Genomic DNA, 22,384 nt, shown 5'->3' with positions numbered 1-22,384 from the left:
CCTGACAGCCTAACATAATATTGAAGGTTGGGTAAGGTCATTTTAAGTAAACCTAAGTAGGTTGAACAAGAAAGAAAAATAGGAATCACCTAAGCAAAGAAGGATGAAAAGATTATTTTAGGCAGTGAAAACTACACACATGCAGAGGTTCTGTACTAAGAGAGAAAGCATGTTGAGTTTTAGGAGCAAAGAGAGGAACAATTAAGCTTTGGATAAAAACTTAGGTACTTTTCGTTATTTAATGACAATCTGCTCAACTGTCAATTTGAAGCTTCATCCATCAGTATAAAGGTATATTAAATATGTGTTATGATTGCTTCTCTGACCCAACTGGTCTTCCCAACTGCCCTCCCTTAGATAATCCCAGATTTATTCAAATATTCCAATATTTTGTGAAAAAGCTGACACCTGGGAGGTTCCAGTGGTCAAGAACTCCTGCAGTTACTGAGCAGCATTTTTTCCCTCGTAGGATTATAACTTCAAGTCAGAAAATTCATTTGTTCTCCTCTTTCTTCTGTCTTTTTGTTGGTGGAGAGGAAGTACAATCTTTCTTTTTCCAATTCAAAGACACTGCATTTTCTTACTTCTATTCTCTGTTTAGCATTAACTTTTCTCTTTTTTTATTTTTTATTTTATTTTATTATTATTATACTTTAAGTTTTAGGGTACATGTGCACAATGTGCAGGTTAGTTACATATGTATACATGTGCCATGCTGGTGTGCTGCACCCATTAACTCGTCATTTAGCATTAGGTGTATCTCCTAAAGCTAACTTTTCAAAGGACATATATTTTCTCAAAATACCAGAAGATACCTTGTCTTTCTGTTCTCAATGAATTCTGAAAGTCAATGAGCTACTAAGGATCTGGCTGCTTATTTGGAAACAAAATAATGGAGGATGACATTGGCCGCATAGTCAGGAGAAATAGGACGCTAAAGGCATTCAGTTCTGCCAGCTTGGGACCTGGCAAAACAGTTCTGGAGAAACTTGGAAACCTCAATACAACAGTCGTTGCTAAGCAATAACAAGGCACTGATCAGATCGTCAAGCAACTGACCAAAGAGGAAAAATTTCATAAACAAGTCATTTAAATATGTGGGAAATCATGTAAGAAGGTTTGTGGAAAGTATTAGTGCATCAAACTAGTTTTAAAAAGTTTTACATAACAGAATAATCTGCTCAGTCAGATTAAGTGACAATCACTGTTTGGTCTTGTGAGAAAAGATCAAATGTTATTCATCTCTGCTTTTGGGGAATTAATTGTATAAAGAAGGGCACAATAACTTAAAGTAGAATGATGGCAGTATAATATGGCTGCTATGGTTTGAATGTCCCTCAAGATTCATGTGTTGGAAACTTAAACCCCAATGCAACAGTATTGGGAGGTAGGACCTTTAAGAGGCGATTATGTCACATGGGCCCTGCCCTCATGAATGAATTAGTGCTGCTATCGTGGGAGTGGGTTTGTTATAAAAGCAGATTCAACTCTCCATTTCTAATTCTCTCTCTTCTCTCTTTCTCATGCACATACACTCTTGCCCTTCTGCCTTCTGCCATGAGATGACCCAGTGACAAGGCCTTCACCAGAAGCAGGTCACTTGACCTTGGACTTTCTAGCCTCCAGAGCTGTGAGCCAAATAAAGTTCTATAGTTTATAAATTACCCAGTCTCTGATATCCTGTTATAGTAGCACAAAACAGTACCAGGAAGATTGATATTGGGAGTAGAGTTGTTGCTACAACAAATACCTGAAAATATGGAAGTGGTTTTTGAACTGGGTAATAGATAGAAGCTTGAAGAATTTGGAGAAGCAAGGTAGAAAAAGCCCAGATTGCTGTGAATGGAGCATTAAGCATATTAATTATTTTTATTAGGAAAAAAATGAGAGTCTGAAATCAATTCTATAAGCTTCTGCCTTACAAATCTAGAAAAAGATGGGAAAAGCATATTCAAAAAATAGAAGGAAGAAAATAATAGAAATGAGCCGAACTCAATAAGATAGAAAATGAACAGAAAAAGGAAAAAAAACAAAACCAAAAATGTGCTACTTTGAAAAAAAATCATAGTGTGATACATTTCTTTATACACTATTCAGTCAAGAAAGATAAAAATACAAACACAGAATCAAGACTGAGATTAAGATGGCAAATAGGAGGCTAGTCAGAGACAGGGCAGCATGTAGAGACTCACATCATTAACTTTTCTCCAAGAATTACTGCAGGAACATGCCAGGTAAGCTGAGATAATCCACAGACCCTTTGAAGGAACTGGATTGCTTCTGCAGGCTCCTTGAGATGCCAAAAAACTCTGAATCAGCTTGCTTTCTCAGTGGGGTGGCTGACGGTCTGGGGCAAGTTCTCAGAACTGGTCACCAGCTGCCTGGAAACACTTGGTGTGGTAGGTGGGGCATGATGGAAGTGAGACCAGCATTTAGGACTGTGGCTACATGGGAATGGGGTGAGGCCTGTGACTGCTGTCTTTGTCCCACTTCTCTGGTGACCTGTATGACTCAGCAGAGGCAGCCACAATCCACCAGGGAACATAACTCCATTGGACTGGGAATCACACCCCTATTCCCCACAGCAGCTGCAGCAAGCTCCACCCAAGGAGAGTCTGAGCTCAGACATACCTATGTCTGCCCCCACCTGGTGGTCTTTCTCTACCCGTTCTGGTTGCCAAAGACAAAGGACATAATATCCTGAGAGCTCTATGGCGCTGCCCACCACCTGAGAAACCTGAATACGTAACCAGACAACCCCAGGGCAAGTATACATCCTCCTTCTAGTACTGTAGTTGATGTGCTCTTGAACATGCCACCTCCTGGCTGCAGGCCAACCAACACAAAACCAGTGCACTAAACAAAAATACAACTAAGGACCCTCACAGACTCCACTTAACTCCCCTGCTACCTCCACCGGAGCAGGTGCTGGTATCTGTGGCTGAAAGACCTGAAGACAGATCACATCACAGCACTCTTTGCAGACACTTTCCAGTATTAGCCCAGAGCCCTGTAGCTACACTGGGTGGCTAGACCCAGAAGAGCAAAATCAGTCATTGCAGTTCAGGTCTCAGGAAGCCTCATCCCTAGGGGAAAGGGGAGAACACCAAATTAAGGGAGCACCCCTATGGGACAAAAGAATGTGAACAGCAGCCCTTAAGTCCCAGATCTTCCCTCTGACATAGTCTACCCAAATGAGAAGGAACAGAGAAACAATTCTGGTAATATTACAAAACAAGGTTCTTTAACACCTCCAAAGGATCAAACCAGCTCACCAGCAATGGATCCAAACCAAGATGAAATCTCTGAATTACCAGAAAAAGAATTCAGAAGATCAATTATTAAGCTGATCAAAGAGGCACCAGAAAAAGGTGAAATCCAACTTAAAGAAATCAAAAACATAATACAGGATATGAAAGGAAAAATCTTCAGTGAAATAGACAGCATAAATAAAAAAACAAACACAACTTCTGGAAATGAAGGACACACTTAGAGAAATACAAAATGCACTGGAAAGTCTTGCAATAGAATTGAACAAGCAGAAGAAATAACTCCAGAGCTCAAAGACAAGGTTTTCAAATTAATCTAATCCATCAAAGACAAAGAAAAAATGATTAAAAAAATGAACAAAGTCTCCAAGAAGTTTGGGACTATGTTAAGCATCCAAACCTAAGGATGATTGATGTTCCTGAGGAAGAAGAGAAATCTCAAAGTTTGGAAAACATATTTGAGGGAATAATCAAGGAAAACTTCCCCAGCCTTGCCAGAGAGCTAGACATCTAAATACAAGAAGTTCAAAGAACACCTGGAAAACTCATCGCAAACAGATCTTCACCTAGGCACACAGTCATCAGGTTCTCTAAAGTCAAGACAAAGGAAAGAATCTTAAGAGCTGTGAGGCAAGGCTGGGAGTGGTGGTTCACACCTGTAATCCCAACCCTTTGGGAGGCCTAGGTAGGCGGATCACTTGAGGTCAGGAGTTCAAGACCAGTCTGGCTAACATGGTGAAACCCTGTCTCTACTAAAAGTACAAAAATTAGCTGGGTGTGGTGGCATGTGCCTGTAGTTCCAGCTACCGGGGAGGCTGAGGCAGGAGAATTACTTGAACCTTGGAGGCAAGGGAGCCGAGTTCACACCATTGCACTCCACCCTGGGTGACAGAACGAGAGTCCAACTAACTAACTAACTAACTAAATAAATAATAGAGCTATGAGGCAAAAGCATCAAGTAACATACAAAGGAAAACCTATCAGAATAACAGCAGATTTCTCAGCACAAACCCTGCAAGCTAGAAGAAATTGGGATCCTATTTTTTGCCTCTTTAAACAAAGCAATTATCGGTCAAGAATTTTGTATCCAGTGAAACTAAGCATTATAAATGCAGGAAAGATACAGTCTTCTGCAGACAAACAAATGCTGAGAGAATTTGCCACTACCAAGCCAGAATTACAAGAACTGCTAAAAGGAGCTCTAAATCTTGAAACAAATCCTCAAAATACATCAAAATAGAACATCCTTAAAGCATAAATCTCACAAGACCTATATAACAATAACACAATGAAAAAAAACAGGCATTCAGTCAATTAATAGCGTAATGAACAGAAGAGTACCTCACATCTCAATACTAAAATTGAATGTAAATGGCCTAAATACTCCACCTAAAAGATACAGAATGGCAGAATGAATAAGAATTCACCAACCAAGTCTCTGCTGTCTTTAGGAGACTCACCTAACAGATCAGGACTCATATAAACTTAAGGTAAAGGAGTGGAAAAAGGTATTCCATACAAATGGACACCAAAAGCGAGCAGAAGTAGCTATTCAGACCAAACAAACATTAAAGCAACAGCAGTTAAAAGAGACAAAGAAGGACATTATATAATGAAAAAAGGATTAGTCCAACAGGAAAATCTCACAATCCTATATATATGCACCTAACACTGGAGCTCCCAAATTTATAACGCAATTACTACTAGACCTAAGAAATGAGATAGATGGCAACCCAATAATGTGGGGTATTTTAATACTCCACTGACAACACTAGACAAGTCATCAAGACAGAAAGTCAACAAAAAAAAATGGACTTAAACTATACCCTACAAAAAATGAACTTAACAGATATTTAACAGAACATTCTACCCAACAACTGCAGAATATACATTCTATTCATCAGCACATGGAACATTCTACAAGATAGACCATATGATAGGCCACAAAACAAGTCTCAGTAAATTTAAGAAAATCAAAATTATATCAAGTACCCTGTCATACCCTGGTGGAGTCAAATTGGAAATCAACCCTAAAAGGAACCCCCAAAACCATGCAAATGCATGGAAATTAAATAACCTGTTTCTGAATGATCATTGGGTTAACTGTGAAATCAAGATGGAAATTAAAAAATTCTTTGAACTGAATGACAGTAGTAACACAACCTATCAAACCTTCTGGGATACAGCAAAGAATGCTAAGAGGAAAGTTCATAGCCTTAAATGTCTACATCAGAAAATCTGAAAGAGCACAAATAGACAATCTAAGGTCACACCTCAAGAAACTAGAGAAACAAGAACAAACCAAACCCCAGATCAACAGAAGAAAAGAAATAACCAAGATCAGAGCATAACTAAATAAAAAAGAAACAAACAAACAAAAAATATAAAAGATAAATAAAACAGTAAGCTGCTCCTTTGAAAAGATAAATAAAATTGATGGATCATTGGTGAGATTAACCAAGAAAAGAAGAGGGAAGATCCAAATAAGCTCAATTAGAAATAAAACAGGAGATATTACTACTTACATAACGGAAATACAAAAGATTACTCAAAGCTACTATGAACACCTTTATGTGGATAAACTAGAAAACCTAGAGTAGATGGATAAATTCCCAGAAATATACAACCCTCCAGATTAAACCTGAAAGATATAGAAACTCTGATCAGACCAATAACAAGCAGTGAGGTTGAAATGGTAATTTAAAAATTGCCAACAATAAAAAGTCCAGGCCCAGACAGATTCACAGCTGAATCCTCAGACATTCAAAGAAGAATTCATACCAATCCTATTGACACTATTCCACAGGATAGAAAAAGAGGGAATCCTCCCCAAATCATTCTACGAAGCCAGTATCATACTAATATCAAAACCATGGAAGGACATAACAAAAAGAGAAAATTACTGACCACTATCCCTGATTAACATAGATGCAAAAATTCTCAACAAATTACTAGCGAGCCAAATCCAACAGCATATCAAAAAGATAATCCACCATGGTCAAGTGGGTTTTATACCAGGTGTGCAGAGATGGTTTAACATCTGCAAGTCAATAAATGTGATACACCATATAAACAGAATTACAAACAAAAATCACATGATCATCTCAATATATGCAAAAAAAGCATTCAACAAAATCCAGCTTCGCTTTATGATTAAAACTCTCAGCAAAATCAGCATACAAGGGACATACCTCAATGTAATAAAAGCCGTCTATGACAAACCCACAGCCAACATTATACTGAATGGGGAAAAGTTGAAAACATTCCCTCTGAGAAATGAAACAAGACAAGGATGCCCTTTCTCATCACTTCTATTCAACATAGCGCTGGAAGTCCTAGTCAGAGCAATCAGACAAGAAAAAGAAATCGCAGGTATCAAATTGGTAAACAGGAAGTCAAACTGTCACTGTTTGCCGATAATATGATTGTATACCTACAAAACCCTAAAGACTCATCCAAAAGCTCCTAGAACTGGTCAACAAATTCACCAGTTTCAGGATACAAAATTAATGTACACAAATCAGTAGCTATGCTATACACCAACAGTGACCAAGCTGAGAATCAAATCAAGAACTCAGCCTCTTTTACAGTAGCTTCAAAAAATATATATAAAATATGTAGGAAAATACCTAGCCAAGGAGGTGAAACACCTTTACAAAGAAAACTACAAAACACTGTTGAAAGAAATCATAGATGACACAAACAAATGGAAACACATCCCATGCTCATGGATGGGTAGAATCAAATTGTGAAAATGACCATACTGCCAAAAACAGTCTACAAATTCAATGCAATTCCCATCAAAATACCACCATCATTCTTCACAGAACTAGAAAAAACAATCCTAAAATTTATATGGAACCAAAAAACAGCCCACATAGCCAAAGCAAGACTAAGCAAAAAATAACAAATCTGAAGGCATCACATTACCCGACGTCAAACTATACTATACGACCACAGTTAGCAAAAGAGCATTGTACTGGTATAAAAACGGGCACATAGACCAATGGAAAAGAATAGAGAACCCAGAAATAAACCCAAATACTTGCAGCCAACTGATCTTTGATAAAGCAAACAAAAACATAAAGTGGGGAAAGGACACCCTATTCAACAAATGGTTCTAGGATAACTGGCAAGCCACATGTAGAAGAATGAAACTGGATCCTCATCTCTCACCTGATAAAAAAATCAACTCCAGATGAGTCAAAGACTTTAATATCTGAAACCATAAAGATTCTAGATGATAACATCGGAAAAACCCTTTTAGACATTGGCTTAGGCAAAGACTTCATGACCAAGAACCCAAAAGCAAATGCAACAAAAACAAAGATAAATAGGTGGTACTTAATTAAACTAAAAAGCTTCTGCATAACAGAAGAAACAATCAGCAGAGCAAACAGACAACCCCCAGAGTGGGAAAAAATCTTCACAATCTACACACTCAACAAAGGACTGATATCCAGATCTACAAATAACTCAAACAAATCAGCAAGAAAAAAAAAATCCCATCAGCACATGGGCTAAGAACATTAATAGATAATTCTCAAAAGAAGATAAGCAAGTGGCCGACAAGCATATGAAAAAATGCTCAACATCACTAATTACCAGGGAAATGCAAATCAAAACCAGAATGCGATACCATCTTACTCTTGCAAGAATGAGCATAATCAAAAAATCAAAAATTATAGATGTTGGTTTGGTTGCAGTGAAAAGAGAACACTTTTACACTGTTGGTGGGAATGTAAACTAGTAAAACCATTATGGAAAACTGTGTGGAGTTTCCCTAAAGAACTAAAAGTAGATGTACTGTTTGATCCAGCAATCCCACTACTGGGTATCTACTCAGAGAAAAAGAAGTCATTATACCAAAAAGGATACTTGCACACTCATATTTATAGCAGCACAATTTGCAATTGCAAAAAGTATGGAACCAGCCCAAATGCCCATCAGTCAACGAGTGGGCAAAGAAAATGGGTTACATACATATACCATGGAATACTACTCAGCCATAAAAAGGAACGAGATAATGGTATTTGCAGCAACCTGGATGGAATTGGAGACTATTGTTCTAAGTGAAGTAACTCAGGAATGGAAAATCATATTTCATATACTCTCACTCATATGTGGGAGCTAAGCTATGAGGACACAAAGGCATAAGATTGATACAGTGGACTTTGGGGACTTGGGTGAAAGGGTGGGAAGAGGGCAAGGGATAAAAGACTACACAATGGGTACAGTGTACACTGCTCGGGTGATGAGTGCAAGAAAATCTCAAAAATCACCACTAAAGAACTTATTCGTATAACCAAACACCACCTGTTCCCCCAAAACCTATTGAAATAAAAAAATAATACAAACACAAATATATACATACATATACACATATATAGTCACACACATATATGTGTATATATATTTGCATATATATCCCAATATATATATCATCATGACTAGAAGTGACTGATCATCAAATGTCTTTAGGTCTATACCCTAGTCTGGGATCTGTTTTTTCCTGATCCCATAGATAACAGGGTTGAATACAGGTAGAACAACCGTATATACATTGGCCAGAAATATACGAATATAGCAGGGATGCTTTCACCAAGCAGTGTATCAGAAAAAAAATACTGGGATGTAGAAGATGAGCATGACAAACATGGGAACCACAGGTATTGAGAGCCTCGAACTGGCCATTCCATGGTGGTAAGTGAAACAGTGTGTAGTTTCTTTACATAGGAGAAACCAATTGCAATAAGGTCAATAAATCCCACAAAAAGGCAACCATCCCAAACATATTATTGGCTCTGATACTGGCACAGGAAAGATGGGCAATGCCCATGTGCTCACATTTGGTGTGGGGGATGATATGGGCAGCACAGAATGACAACAGCAAGATGAGAAACTCAAAAGGGATGATAAAGATTAAAGATCTAATTATCATGACTTCCTAGGATGGCTACCACATTGTTCATGAGAATCATGGTATATCTCAGTGGATTGCGAATTACGACATAGTGGTCTATGGCCAGGATTATCAGTACCCCAGATTCCAGGCCAGTGCATAGATAAGTCATAAACATCTGTATATAAACAAGGAAAGCACCAAAAACTATTTCCCTGACGTTGAACTGGAAGATACGATAGTAACAACGGACAGGCTTAGGTTAGTGGAAGTCAACATTTTCATCAGTTGCCCCCGATGAAAATACTCAGCTAGCAAATAAAGTGACTGTGTATAAAGACCTACCTTTCAGCAGCCTTGAAATTTTGAAATAATAAACAAAGTTGAATTCTTTTAGATTGGCTTGAAGCATGCCAATGTTTCACAGACATGGACTCAGCCAAGATGACCAATATTCAGTGTTTACCATAGCATTTGGCATAGCTCAGCCGACCTGCTCCAAGACTTGCAGTATTGATGGCTTTGTACAAATTCAGTTAAAAAAAAAAAAAACTCTAGAGCTTGATAAACTCCCTAAACAACTTTCCTTTCTTGGGAATTCTATGTGCACACTGTGCTGTTTTCAAATATGCTCCTGGCTCCCATGTTACAGCCCCTGGAACATATACTTGGTAATGAATGGGGTTTTCTCTTCTGTATTAGCTTCTATGCTCCTTAGAAATTAAAGTTCTCTGTTACCCATTTCCATTCAGATTACTCACTTTCTGGAGCACGTGACATTTAGCAAAGTCTCAGAAATGATACAGGAAAACTCTTAGTCGAAGTTCTTAACGTATGATACCAAAATTAAGTGGTCTGGTGGTTTAACATATTTTGGGTAGAGTGAACAAAATTGAACATATTAGAGCCTTTAAATATACAAATGTAAATATTCAGGCTCTAAAATGAGATTTTCGTAGTTGAAATATTATATAATAATACATTAAATAAACTATAATTGAAAAGTGGTATTTTACTTAGAAGACACTCCACAATGAATTTTTTGTCATCTTTATTCCTTGTTAAATGATCTGTTTAGTTTTTTTTAAATTCTGTATCAATTTCAAAATATCTACTTAGAAAATGATTACTTGGTTACTTTTTCTTTATATATTTATATGACATATCACTTCAGTTTACTTCCACTTGTCAATTTATACTGTTATTTATATTGTTATTACTTTCGCACTATTCTCTGTACATTTCTGCTCATTCTACCTTGAGTTTCAATCAGGGCTCCATTTCCAATTAGGAGCCAACTTCACATTTTTGCAGCTCCTAGAATACCCAAAGAAATAAATTGTCCTATTTATCTTCTATACCTTATTAAGAATGACTTTATATTATTTCAGCAGCCACACTATTACAGTCTGCCCTAAAACCCACTCTAGCAAAGACTGTGGAGGATGGGATTTCCCTGAGTCCTTAAGCCCAAGACAGAAACCTGTTAACTCTTCAAGCTTTATAGTCTCCTGACTGAAAGTCTCTTTCACGAAGGTAAGAGCTGAGAGGTCCATGAAGAGGCCCATGCGTTGGGATAATCTGGATCTGGAGAGCTGACCTCAAACCAGGGATTGTATACTAGAGTGGATTAGTAAATGAAATCTACATACATTAGAAATAACAATTACACTATAATTATGTTTAGTAAGCACTCATTTTGTTTCCAAATCTTTTAATGTTTTACAAGCTGCACAGATTTTCACAACATTCACTTTAAGCTTCAATATCCCTGCTCATAAAATGCTATAAATCAGTATGAATTTGTTATTGTGAACTCAAAGAGTCTAAGTGAAATGCTCAGGTCAAAATTTTAGGTAAGGCCATAACCTGTATTTAAATCTAGATCTTATGACTCCTAGTTAATTTCTCTTGCCACTGTATCCTGCCTGGTTTTGATGAAATACCACATCATTTTAATCGTCATGAACTTCAGCTTTGGATATGTAAATACAGAGAATCTTCATGTGGAAAGGCTATTCAAGACAATTACTGGGCAATAACTTTTACAAAGCCTTTGTTTCTCTTTAGGCATTTTGTAGTATCATGGGGCTTAAGTGTGAGTACTTTTTGCACTTTTAATGGGTGAAACAGAGAGATTGTTTTGGAATCTTTGAGCTATAACTTCCAACAGACCGTACTGAAATCATGAGACGTTGTAGGGGATATAATGCTATTGGCTCATGTGGGAATGCAAGAGAAGTAGTAAAAAAAATGTTTCCAGTGTTTATTTTGTTATGATCTCATTATTGTCTAACTGAATTGTTGTGGAAGATCCTCTTGGGGTCAAAATGCCAAAAGCTTTTAGGGTTGAGTATCCTAAGTACCTGCTCTCGTATCTGTTTTGTTTTGACCCCATAGATAACAGAGTTAAGAGCAGGGGGAAAAACCACATACAGATTGGCCAGAAGAATGTGGATGTAATGAGGGATGTTGTGGCCAAAGCGGTGTGTCATGAAGGAAAAGAGGGCTGGCAGGTAGAAAGCCAACATAACACAGACGTGAGAGCCACATGTGCTGAGTGCCTTAGGCCGGGCATCCCAGGCTGGGAGATGGAAGACAGCTCGGAGGATCTGGACATAGGAAAATCCAATCACAGAAATGTCAATGTATCCCACTGAGAAGGCAATCAATCCATATATAACATTAATACTGGCACAAGCTAACTTTGCCAAGCCCATGTGTTCACAATAGGTATGAGGGATAATCCGGACACCACAGAAAGGCAATCTCAGGATGAGAAATGTGAATGGAGTCACAAATACCAAAGTCCTGACAATGATGACTATGCCCAGAATGGCTATTACCTTGTTGGTAAGGATCATGCTATATCTCAGGGGGTTGCAGATGGCAATATAGCGATCTATGCCCGTGACTGTCAGTACCACAGACTCCAGGCCAGTGCATATATGAATGGTATACATCTGTGTGATGCAGGCACCAAATGCAATCTCTCCAAGATTAAACCAGAAAATTCCCAGCATCTTGGGGATGGTTGCTGTAGACAAGCCCAGATCAGTGCCGGCCAACATGGCTAGGAAGTAAAACATGGGTTGGTGGAGGCTCTGTTCAGTCTGTATCACAAACAGGATAATGATGTTCCCTAGAAGGGCTGTTAGATACACTGCAAAGAAGGGGAAGCCAATCCATACATGCACATCTTCCAGCCCTGGGACCCCCACTACGAGGAAGGTGGAAGGGTGAAACTGTGTATTGTTGGTATGAAGCATATTGGTGGCCATTCCCTACAGACACATTTCTTGCATGAGTTTTCTTGCTTCCAGTGAGAAACCATAACTTCTTTCACAGCATGGTGTCTATTTCTTGGGGAAACAGAAAATCCATTCTTTAACTCCATAATATAGCATAAGAGACCTAGAGAGGGAATATGAAATATAGTTAAAAAGACACTCTCACTTTTAAATATTTGCCTCACTTACACAGGAAACCATGCAGAAAGTTTCCAAAATATAGCAATCCTGCACTTCCCATGTCTTTCCTCCCTTCAGTCTCTAAGAAAAAACTTCCATATGGCATTAAATTAGCATATATTTATTGCTAATTATACTTGTTAATCAGGATGTAAAGAGTAGCCAAGGTGAAGTGTGTGTGTGTGTGTGTGTGTGTGTGTAAAATGTCACTGGACTGAGATTGAGGAGGAAAATGATAAGAGGAATGATACATTCTTGCAAATTAGATCTGAGAAATTAAGAATATTCTCTGTGAGAGGAGACTCAGTAAAGGTGGAGGATTGGTTAGTTGGTGTTTGGATTTGAGATAATAAATAAAATTTTTAAATTTAGATACATAGGGTAACTATTGCATAATTCCAGAAAAACAATGCTCCCTCTTACAACTTCAAAGGCCCTTCACTATATTATGTTTTCTTTCCTGAATAGAAAACACTGGATGCTCTCAGATACTTTGCAGTGCCTTTTGTGATTTATGATCTTTTCTGTCTTCTCCATTTCGCATTATATAAATGGGCAATCGCTTCATAATGCCACCTAGATAGTGGCAGTGTAATTGTCTCTATCTTTTTAAAAGATACTGAGGTCAGATACTTGCCTCAGATTGGGGACAGTCTAGTTTGTATTAATGCTGTAATAGTTTCCCTGGTATATTGATGGACAGTGATATGTTTAAGTTCACAGCAGGCTAGTTTACCGTCACAATTGAGTCTTTCTGGTGTGCCTTGTGGTTGAGTCTGGTTTGTAACTGGCTCTGTGCAATGGATGCAATCTGCAACATAATAGGCCTGTAGGGTGCTTGGGTGTGTGCAAATGAGACTAGGACTTGATTAGAAACTTTGCTGCTACAGGGTGTATTCTGTGGTAGGCTCTGGGCCATGGATGGAATACATTCAGTTATTGGGTTAGTCAGATTCGGGCAGTGCCATATCCATATCAGTGCCATGGGTCAAATTACTTTGATGCTCATTTGAGTGCAATGATTTCTAATATGGTGCTACTAATCCTAAAGAAAAACTATCCCTATGACTTGGCTATAATGCAGGCCCAAAGAACTGCTTTGGAAGTATAGTGGTATGTGTATTTGGGTTTGTATCTTCTCAGATTCTGTCCAATTTCATGGTGTGGAATTGCTTCCCAAGATATGTCACGATTCTGCTAAAGGGAGGGAAGATACTTTATGATATGATCATTTCCTGAGTTGTATTAATCATCTTTTTCTCCTTATGGGATCTGATTATAGGAAAGTTAGTATCACAAAATCAACATACAAAGATGAGTAGCATTTCTATATACCAGTATTCTTCAAGCTGAGAACCAAATCAAGAACTCAAACCCATTTAAAATAGCCACACAATAATAAAATATGTAGAAATACATTTAACCAAGGAGGTGAAAGATCTCTACAAGGAGAACTAAAAAACACCAATGAAAGAAATCACAGATAACGCAAACTAACGGAAAGACATTTCACACTCATAATCTGGAAGAATCACTATCAGTAAAATGACCCAAAGCAATCTACAGATTCTATGAAATTCCTATGAAATTCCCAAAGCCATTTTTTCAAATTAGAAAAAACTATTCTAAAATTAATATGGAACCAAAAAAGAGCCCAAATAGACAGAGCAATCCTAAGCAAAAAGAACAAAGCCAAAGGCATCACACTACCCAACTTCAAATTATACTCCAAGGCTGCAGTAGCCAAAACAGCATGGCATTGCTGGAAACATGACACAAAAATCAGTGGAACAGAATAGAGAACCTAGAAGTAAAGCCACACACCTACAACGAACTGATCTTTGGTAAAGTCAACAAAAACAATCAACTGGGTAAGGATATCTTATTCAGTAAATGTGCTAGGGAAATTGTCTAGCCATATGTAGAAGAATAAAACTGGACCCCTACTTCTTACCATATACAAAATTAACTCAAAATGGACTAAAAACTTGAATATGAGGCCTCAAACTACAAAAATCCTAAAAGACCTAGGAAAAACTTTTCTGGACATTGGCCCTAGGCAAATAATTTATGATTGAGACTTCAAAAGCAAATGCAATGAAAATGAAAACAAAAATAAACAAATGGGATTTACTTACACTAAAAAGATTCTGTGCAGCCAAAATAAACAATTCACAGAGTAAACAGACAACCTACAAAATGGGAGAAAATATTTGCAAACTATGCATCTGACAGAAGACTAATATCAAGAACCAATAAGGACTTAAATAATTAAGCAAAAGACAAAACCCAATTAAAACGTGGGCAAAGGTTGAATAGACATTTCTCAAAAAAAGACACACAAACAGCTAACAAGCATATGAAAAAATGTTCATCATCATTAATCATCAAAAAAGTGCAACTTAAAACCACAATGAGGCCAGGTGCAGTGGCTTATGCCTGTAATCCTAGCATTTTGGGAGGCCGAGGTGGGAGGATAACTTGAGCCCAGGAATTCCAGATCAGCCTGGGAAACATAGGGAGACTTCATCTAAAAAAAAAAAAAATTAGCTTGGTGTGGTGGTGTGCGCCTATGGTTACAGCTACTCAGGAGGGTGAGGTGAGAAGATCACTGGAACCTGGGAGGTCAAGACTGCAGTGAGCCGTGATTGTGCTACTTCACTCCAGCCTGGGTGACAGAATGAGACTCTGGCTCAAAAATGAACAAGCAGACAAACAACAACAAAAACAAAAACACAGTGAGAAACCATCTCACACCAGTCAGAATGGTTATTATTAAAAAGTGAAAAAATAACAGATGTTGGTAAGGATGTGGAGAAAAAGGAACACTTACACAGTATTAGGGATTTATTAGCTCAACCTCCATGGAAAACAGTATGAAAATTTCCCAAGGAACTAAAAATAGAACTATCATTATTTCTAGGAATCCCGCTATTGGATATCTACCCAAAGGAAAATGGACTGATCAAAAATACACCTGCACTGATTTGCTTATCACAGCACTATTCACAATAGCAGTCATGAAATCAACCTAAGTGTCCATCAGTGGTAGATTGGGTAAATAAAATGTGGGACGTATACACCATAGAAAAGTACACAGCCATAACAAAGAATAATGTCCCTTGCAGCAATATGAATGCAGCTGGAAGCCATTATTCTAAGTGAATTCATGCAGAAACAGAAAACCAAATAGCATATGTTCTCACTTATAAGTGGGAGATAAACAATGGGTACACATGGACATAAAGATGGAAACAACAGACACTAGAGACTACAAAGGTGGGGAGGGAGGTAGAGAGGCAAGAGTTGAAAAACTACCTTTTGGGTACAATGTTCACTATTTGGGTGATGGGTTCACTAGAAGCCTATGCCCCAGCATTATGCAATATGCCCAGGTAACAAACCTGCACGTGTATCCCCTTGAATGTCTAAAAATAAAAAAGTTATGTTTACAATACAAAAGAGTCAGTATCAATACCTTTCACCCACTAATAACCACAAATTAGCTTTATCTTTCTATTTACATCTATCCCCTGCCCCAGCATCCGATCTGTCAGAGAATTCTTTACATTTTGTCTTTTACTAAAAGGAATAATAACTAAGTTTATGTTAGAGGGAAAAAACGTCTAGCTGACATTATGTGCCAGGTATTTTTTCAGTGCTTTTGAAATGTGATTTTATTTAAAGATTAAAGCAGTTCTGAAATTGGCACTTCTGTCCCCATTTACAGAGGAGGTAAATGAGATTCAGGCCAGGGAATTAAAAACTATATCTTACTCAATAGCTACTGCTATTAGTAATTTTTTATATGTAAGCTGGGGGTAATAAAATTAATCACATGATCACCACATCATGCAGGGACTGTCCTGAAAATTAGAAGTTATAGACATGTGGTGTGATTACTTTCCACATGGATTTTAAATAACTGTAATCATCATCATGATTATTACTTTCAATAGGGAGAAGGAGAAATATTTCTCCAGACCCTCTCTTTTTATTGTACTCACCACTTGCTGCCTTTAAATCCTTATTTCTCATACAATGTATTTCATATCTCTATTAATATGTAACATCCTTACAGTTACAAAGATTTGAAAACTGAATAATTTTTCATTCAAATTTTTTCTTCTTCTCTGATTTTTTTTTTTTTTTTTTGACACAGTGTCCCACTCTGTCGCCCAGGTTGGAGTGCAGTGGTGCTATCTCAGCTCACTGCAAGCTCCACCTCTCGGGTTCACGCCATTCTCCTGCCTCAGCCTCCTGAGTAGCTGGGACTACAGGTGCCTGCCACCACGCCCGGCTAATTTTTTTTTTTTTTTTTTTTTTTTTAGTAGAGACGAGGTTTCACCATGTTAGCCAGGATGGTCTTGATGTCTTGATCTCCTGACCTCGTGATCTGCTCGCCTCAGCCTCCCAAAGTCTTCTCTGATTATTATACCCTGTTCTGTTTTTAAAATCTCTATTTATATTCCTACCTACATTTTAGTTTTTCTACTTTTCTTTTCTTTCTTTTTCTTTCTTCTTTTTGAGATGGAGTCTCTCTCTGTTTCCCAGGCTGGAGTACACTGGCACAATCTCAGCTCACTGCAACCTCCACCACTTGGGTAGAAGCGATTCTCCTGCCTCACCTTCCTGAGTAGCTAGGATTACAGGTGCCCACCACCACGCCCGGCTAATTTTTGTATTTTTAGTAGAGACAAGGCCAGGCTGGCCTTGAACTCATGACCTCAGCTGATCTGCCTGCCTCAGCCTATCAAAGTGGTGGGATTACAGGCGTAAGCCGCCACACCTGGCCTATTTCTGTTTTCACTGATATACATAGACTAACATTGTTCATCTGAATTATTACCAAATTGTCTTACTTGGTTTTTCAGTTATTGTGTTTCCTCCAATGTAATGCTTCCGCAGGGGTCAACCATAAATGCCAATAAGATGATCATCCTGCTAATGGTGGAATACAATGATTAGCTTAAAACATTAAATTTATTCATGGCTATTTACAAAGATTAAAAAATAGAGGTTATATATCACAATATGATTAATTGTATTAATGAATAAGCTATAGAGAATTTTGTTTGCAGAAAAATTAAAGTACAGAGCTAAATTATTTAATCTGTCACTGAAATAAGGAAGAATAAAGAATACCTAAATTTGGTAGAATTAAGAGTGCAATGGAGAAAAATCAGCCAAAGGAACAAAATTTATGTTTAATTTTATATTTTCACTGTTTCCTGTGAATATAAATCCAGCTTTTCTTTTGTGATATGCAATTTCAAATCCAACAGCTATTATTTTTCACCTTAAGACAGTGCTTGTTACAAGAATTTTATTTTCTAAAATATTAGCTTTGGAGAATTGTATTGTTCACTTAAAGTAATTTTGGTGTAGGACTTTGAATTTCCTGACATTGTCACAGCCATTTAATTCACCATGGCCTTAGCAATCTTTTCATAATTAAACACAACAACTGAAAAAAATGTGTAGTGGTTCTCTTGTCAGTGAAGTAAAACATTTCTACACTCAAAGTCTAAAGCAATCTTTTCTTTACATTGAGTCCGCAATTAAAATAATTTTTGAAATCAGATTATCATAAGTATTTTCTGAGAACACAAACTATGGCCCATGGACCAAATCTGGCCCACCATTTGTTTTTGTAAATTAAATTTTATTGGGGCAAAATTATTCTCATTCATTTATGTATTGTCTGTGGCTGCTTTTAATCTACAATGGAAGATCTGAGGAGTTGTGACTGAGATCTCATGGCAGGAAAATATTAAAAATATTAACTCTCTCTCTCTTTATAGAAAAAGGGCACCGACCCCTGAGCCATAAGAATAAAATTTCAGTAGTGCTCCATATCCTTATGAAAAAAGTCTTTATTCCATAAAATGCAGTGAAGAATCTTAAACATTAATTTTAACCTATCTTTACAGTATTATCATCTCCACACTGCAGTCAAACTGCACTTCAAACTTTCTGCATGCTTTCTTCTCTATGTCTTTCTTCATATTTCCTCTTATGAGGAGACTTTCCTGTCTAGCTTTAGTCACCACTATAGTACATAGCCTAGATTTATTAACATACAATCTACATAGCCTGCCTCAATCTGCTTATTTCAAGATTATCCATTCTTTTTTTTCCTATTTTTCCAAAGGCCAATCTATCTTTCTGTTACGTGAGTTATCAGCGGTTTTCAAAATGAGTTCCCTGGACCAATAGCATCAGCATCACCTGGTAACTTGTTATAAATGACATTTCTTGGACACTAACTAAGACCACCTTAATCAGAAGCTCTTGAAGAGGGGTCCAGTAATCTGTTAAAAAGCCCTCCAGGTGATTCTGATGCTTATTCCAATTTGAGAACCACTGGCGAATATCTACCACTAGGTTATAATTTCTTTGAAGGCAAAACTAGTGTCATATTTATCTCCATGATAACATGATTTTTTTAATGCCAGGATCCACAAATGGCTATTGAAAGTTGAGTGCAAATAATAATCTTCCCTATTGTTATATATAGTATTTTAGATTGAATTCCTAAAAACATATCTGAGATAGAGAATGGCGGGCAGAAAGATTTTTGAGAAAGGCTCTGGGAAAATATGCTTATAAAGAAGCCAGGAAGGTAGGATTGGATCAGAAGACAAACTTCTTTATCATGTAGTTACATCTGAAGCCTCAAATGATACGATATGAAGCTCTGGAGATGGTTTGATCTCTCTAAGTTGTCCCACACACACAAAAAAAGTAAGCCTTTTTTATTTTTTTTGTATTTCTATATTATCTAGTTGTTGGCAATGGGCCACACTGTGTGATGCGACATGACCTCAGATGAGGCAGTTCCTTGGATCTGAGGGCAATTCCAGGGACGGGTGAAAATTTGAGGTTTCAGCATCTGAGATTCCTAACAACTAGTCATAGGTGCATAGGTCTTGAAAAGCAGACCACACAGCTATAACCAGGGAATGATCTGTTAACATCCTTCTCATCTTCATGAAATGCTCTTTTTTTTTTAATTTTAAAACACTTATCCTTCTCTTTTCCTTTAACTCTCAGAATGCTCTTTGAAGTTTGTTTACTGCTTTTCTTCCTTTATCATGTCCTTAAGTAATAGTCTGTTCTTGACTACAGCTATGAATTTGGGTTTTTCTTAACTACTATCTCTTTCTCTTGCTACTTCCTTAGAAGATGGCCCTATCTACAGAGACTCTGGCCGAGTCACTGGAGCTCCATCATCCCACAAATCACTTTAGTTACTGTCATTGAGGACCCTCTTTCAGCATAACCAGGAGCTGACTCACCTACCTCTGCCCCGCATCTGAGAAATTGTCTGTGAAGGACCGGATACCCCAGACTGCAACCTGTATGCGACATAGTTCTTACTATTCAGAGCCAAGGAGTTATATGAGAATTCTTGTCCCCTGGGAAGGGCTTCCCTAAAGTGTGGGCTGTGTCACTGGACCTGGAGAGAAAACAGAAAATTTCCCTACTCCTGAGGATAGGGCTCTAGGTTATCTTGTCAGAGATACCTTCTGCTTGCTGATGATCTGTGCATCCTCTAGTGGGTACATTCCCTGCACAGGTCCCAGGGGTCTATTCAGTTAGAGGCATAATGACCTCACACTTACACCTTAAATCTGACTGTGGTATCAGGTGATTAGTTACTCTTGACAGAGAGGCAAGAAAAGAGCCCTGTAAGAAGGAACCCAGCATCGCCTTAAAGTCATCTCTGAAATATATGTACATTAATAAATGGCAGAGATAGAATTCTAACTTCAGTTTCCAATTCATGAGATATATCTGTTACAAGAATTACATTCCATGATTTTTGTGAGTGTGTAATGCATCTAACACGATACATAATATTAATAGAAATATCAAAATGAATATATATATATACAGAAAGAAAAGCAGTTTAACCTACAGATTAAGAACATGATCTTTTGATTCTCTTATTCTGTGATCTTGTTCAATTACATTTGCCATTCTAAGTCTTGGTTTTCTCAAATGGAAAATGAGAAAAAATTATATCAATATTGTAACAGTATAATAAGGTAATGTCTGGAAGGTGCTCAACACTTACTTGTTAGAAATTAATTAATACATTAACACTGGCTATGCATTTTCACAAATCTTTTACAACATTATCTCTGAAGTTAACACTTTGGAGTTAGGCAACATAAATTTAAATATTTTTTTCTTAGATTCTGTAGCTGGGAAAACATTTCTTAACCTCTATCAGCTTCTTGTTCCTTCTTATAGATTCACAAGGCTGACGGAAATGACAAAACACATTTCACACTTTTTTTTTCAGAGTAAGTGAGATCATGCATTTGACTAGAACAGCAGAGTGTTTGACAATATATCTAAATATTATTAAATGGACATTATTTCTATTCCTTATTTGAAGTAGAATTTTTGGTGTTCAATAACATAAATAAATATTCAGTAGAAAAAGTTATTTACCTTTTTAGTTCATTAGATTGTTCATTTAAATGACTGTCATTTATTTGTTCAGGAAATGTATTTATTGGTACACATGGACATAAAGATGGGAACAGCAGACACTGGGGACTACTAAAGGTGGGAGAGAGGCCGAGGACAAGGGTTGAAAAACTACTTATAGGGTAATATGCTTACCACCTGCGTATATTAGTTCATTTTCACGTTGCTATAAGTAAATATCTGAGGCTGGGTCATTTATAAAGAAAAGAGATTTAATTGACTTACAGTTCCACATGGCTGGGAAGGCCTCAGTAAACTTAACAGTCATGGCGGAAGGGGAAGAGGCACATCTTACAGGGCAGCAGGTGAGAGAGAAAGAGAATGCCCGTGCAGGGGGAGCTGTCAAACACTTAAAAAAACATCAGATCTCATGATAACTCACTATCATGAGAACAGCATGGGGGAAACCAACCCTGCAATCCAATCACCTCCCAACAGGTCCCAACCCTAATGTGGGGATTATGCGGACAATTCAAGATGAGATTTGGGTGGGAACACAGAGCCTAACCATATCAGTGGGTGATGGGATCATTCATACCCCAAACTTCAGAATCACACAATCTACCCATGTCACAAACCCACACATGTAGCCCCTAAATCTAAGAGTTGAAATTACAAAATAAATAAATAAATTTTACAAAAAAGTATTTATTTTTACCACTAGATGTCAGTCATGCTCATCCTACAAGCCAATGTTCCTTGATTCAACCTTCTTTTATTGAGCTCCTGATATGAATTAGACAACATAATAATTAGATGCTCATTAAATACAGGCTAAATCAGCAAGTGCCATTTGAGCATTATGTATACGTGAAAGTCAAATCAGCTACATTTCTTGAACATGAGCTATTGTGCTAACTAAGTTTTCAAGATATTTTTGTTATATCTCTATTTGTATACCTCTGAGTTCAAAATCATTTCTTCAGGGAGCTTTGATTTCTTTTACAATAAAAGAATGTAAAGGATGAAAAGTTAGTGACTTTTCTTGATTATTTCTAATGTTTCCTATAAAATTGGATATATCTTACTATGCATTATCATATTGATCTTTTTGAATTACAATATTAATTAAAGCTTTGGAAAGCCCAAAGTTTTCCTTAATACCCATGAATCTTATAAACCACATAGAAGAATACCCCTAGCATATAAAATGTTCTTTCATTTTACTTTTGGCCTTACAGAGAGAATACTCTAAAATTATGAGAAAACTAAGAATATGCCTGGTGATTATTCCATTA

At 37.3% G+C, this 22,384-nt stretch overlaps 1 protein-coding gene, 1 long non-coding RNA gene and 1 pseudogene across 8 annotated transcripts in view; 1 reads left to right on the top strand and 2 right to left on the bottom strand.

Annotated features, from left to right (window-relative positions):
- The window catches only part of LOC112268071 (uncharacterized), a 57,527-nt gene that overhangs the window by 25,405 nt on the left and 9,738 nt on the right, over positions 1-22,384 (top strand). For 2 of the 7 annotated variants that reach the window (XR_002957234.2, XR_007062563.1), the window contains exon 3: positions 19,827-20,414. The exons of the other annotated variants lie outside the window; for them this stretch is intronic. This is a non-coding gene — a long non-coding RNA (uncharacterized LOC112268071). Of the gene's footprint in view, positions 1-19,826; positions 20,415-22,384 lie in introns of those variants that run through there. 7 annotated transcript variants of the gene reach the window in all.
- On the bottom strand, positions 8,738-9,581 carry OR52Q1P (olfactory receptor family 52 subfamily Q member 1 pseudogene; annotated as a pseudogene).
- OR52E5 (olfactory receptor family 52 subfamily E member 5) lies at positions 10,487-20,009 on the bottom strand. The gene is made up of 3 exons (NM_001005166.5): positions 19,947-20,009; positions 17,504-17,585; positions 10,487-12,585 (listed from the first exon to the last, which is right to left on the bottom strand). Exon 3 carries the CDS (start codon positions 12,438-12,440, stop codon positions 11,457-11,459), a length of 984 nt encoding a protein of 327 aa, NP_001005166.3. The 5' UTR covers positions 12,441-12,585; positions 17,504-17,585; positions 19,947-20,009; the 3' UTR covers positions 10,487-11,456.

Source organism: Homo sapiens, chromosome 11 (assembly GCF_000001405.40).
Source record: "Homo sapiens chromosome 11, GRCh38.p14 Primary Assembly".
Taxonomy (NCBI): Eukaryota; Metazoa; Chordata; class Mammalia; order Primates; family Hominidae; genus Homo; species Homo sapiens.
Note: the sequence above shows the minus strand (reverse complement) of the source record. Positions and strands in the feature narration are given on the sequence as shown.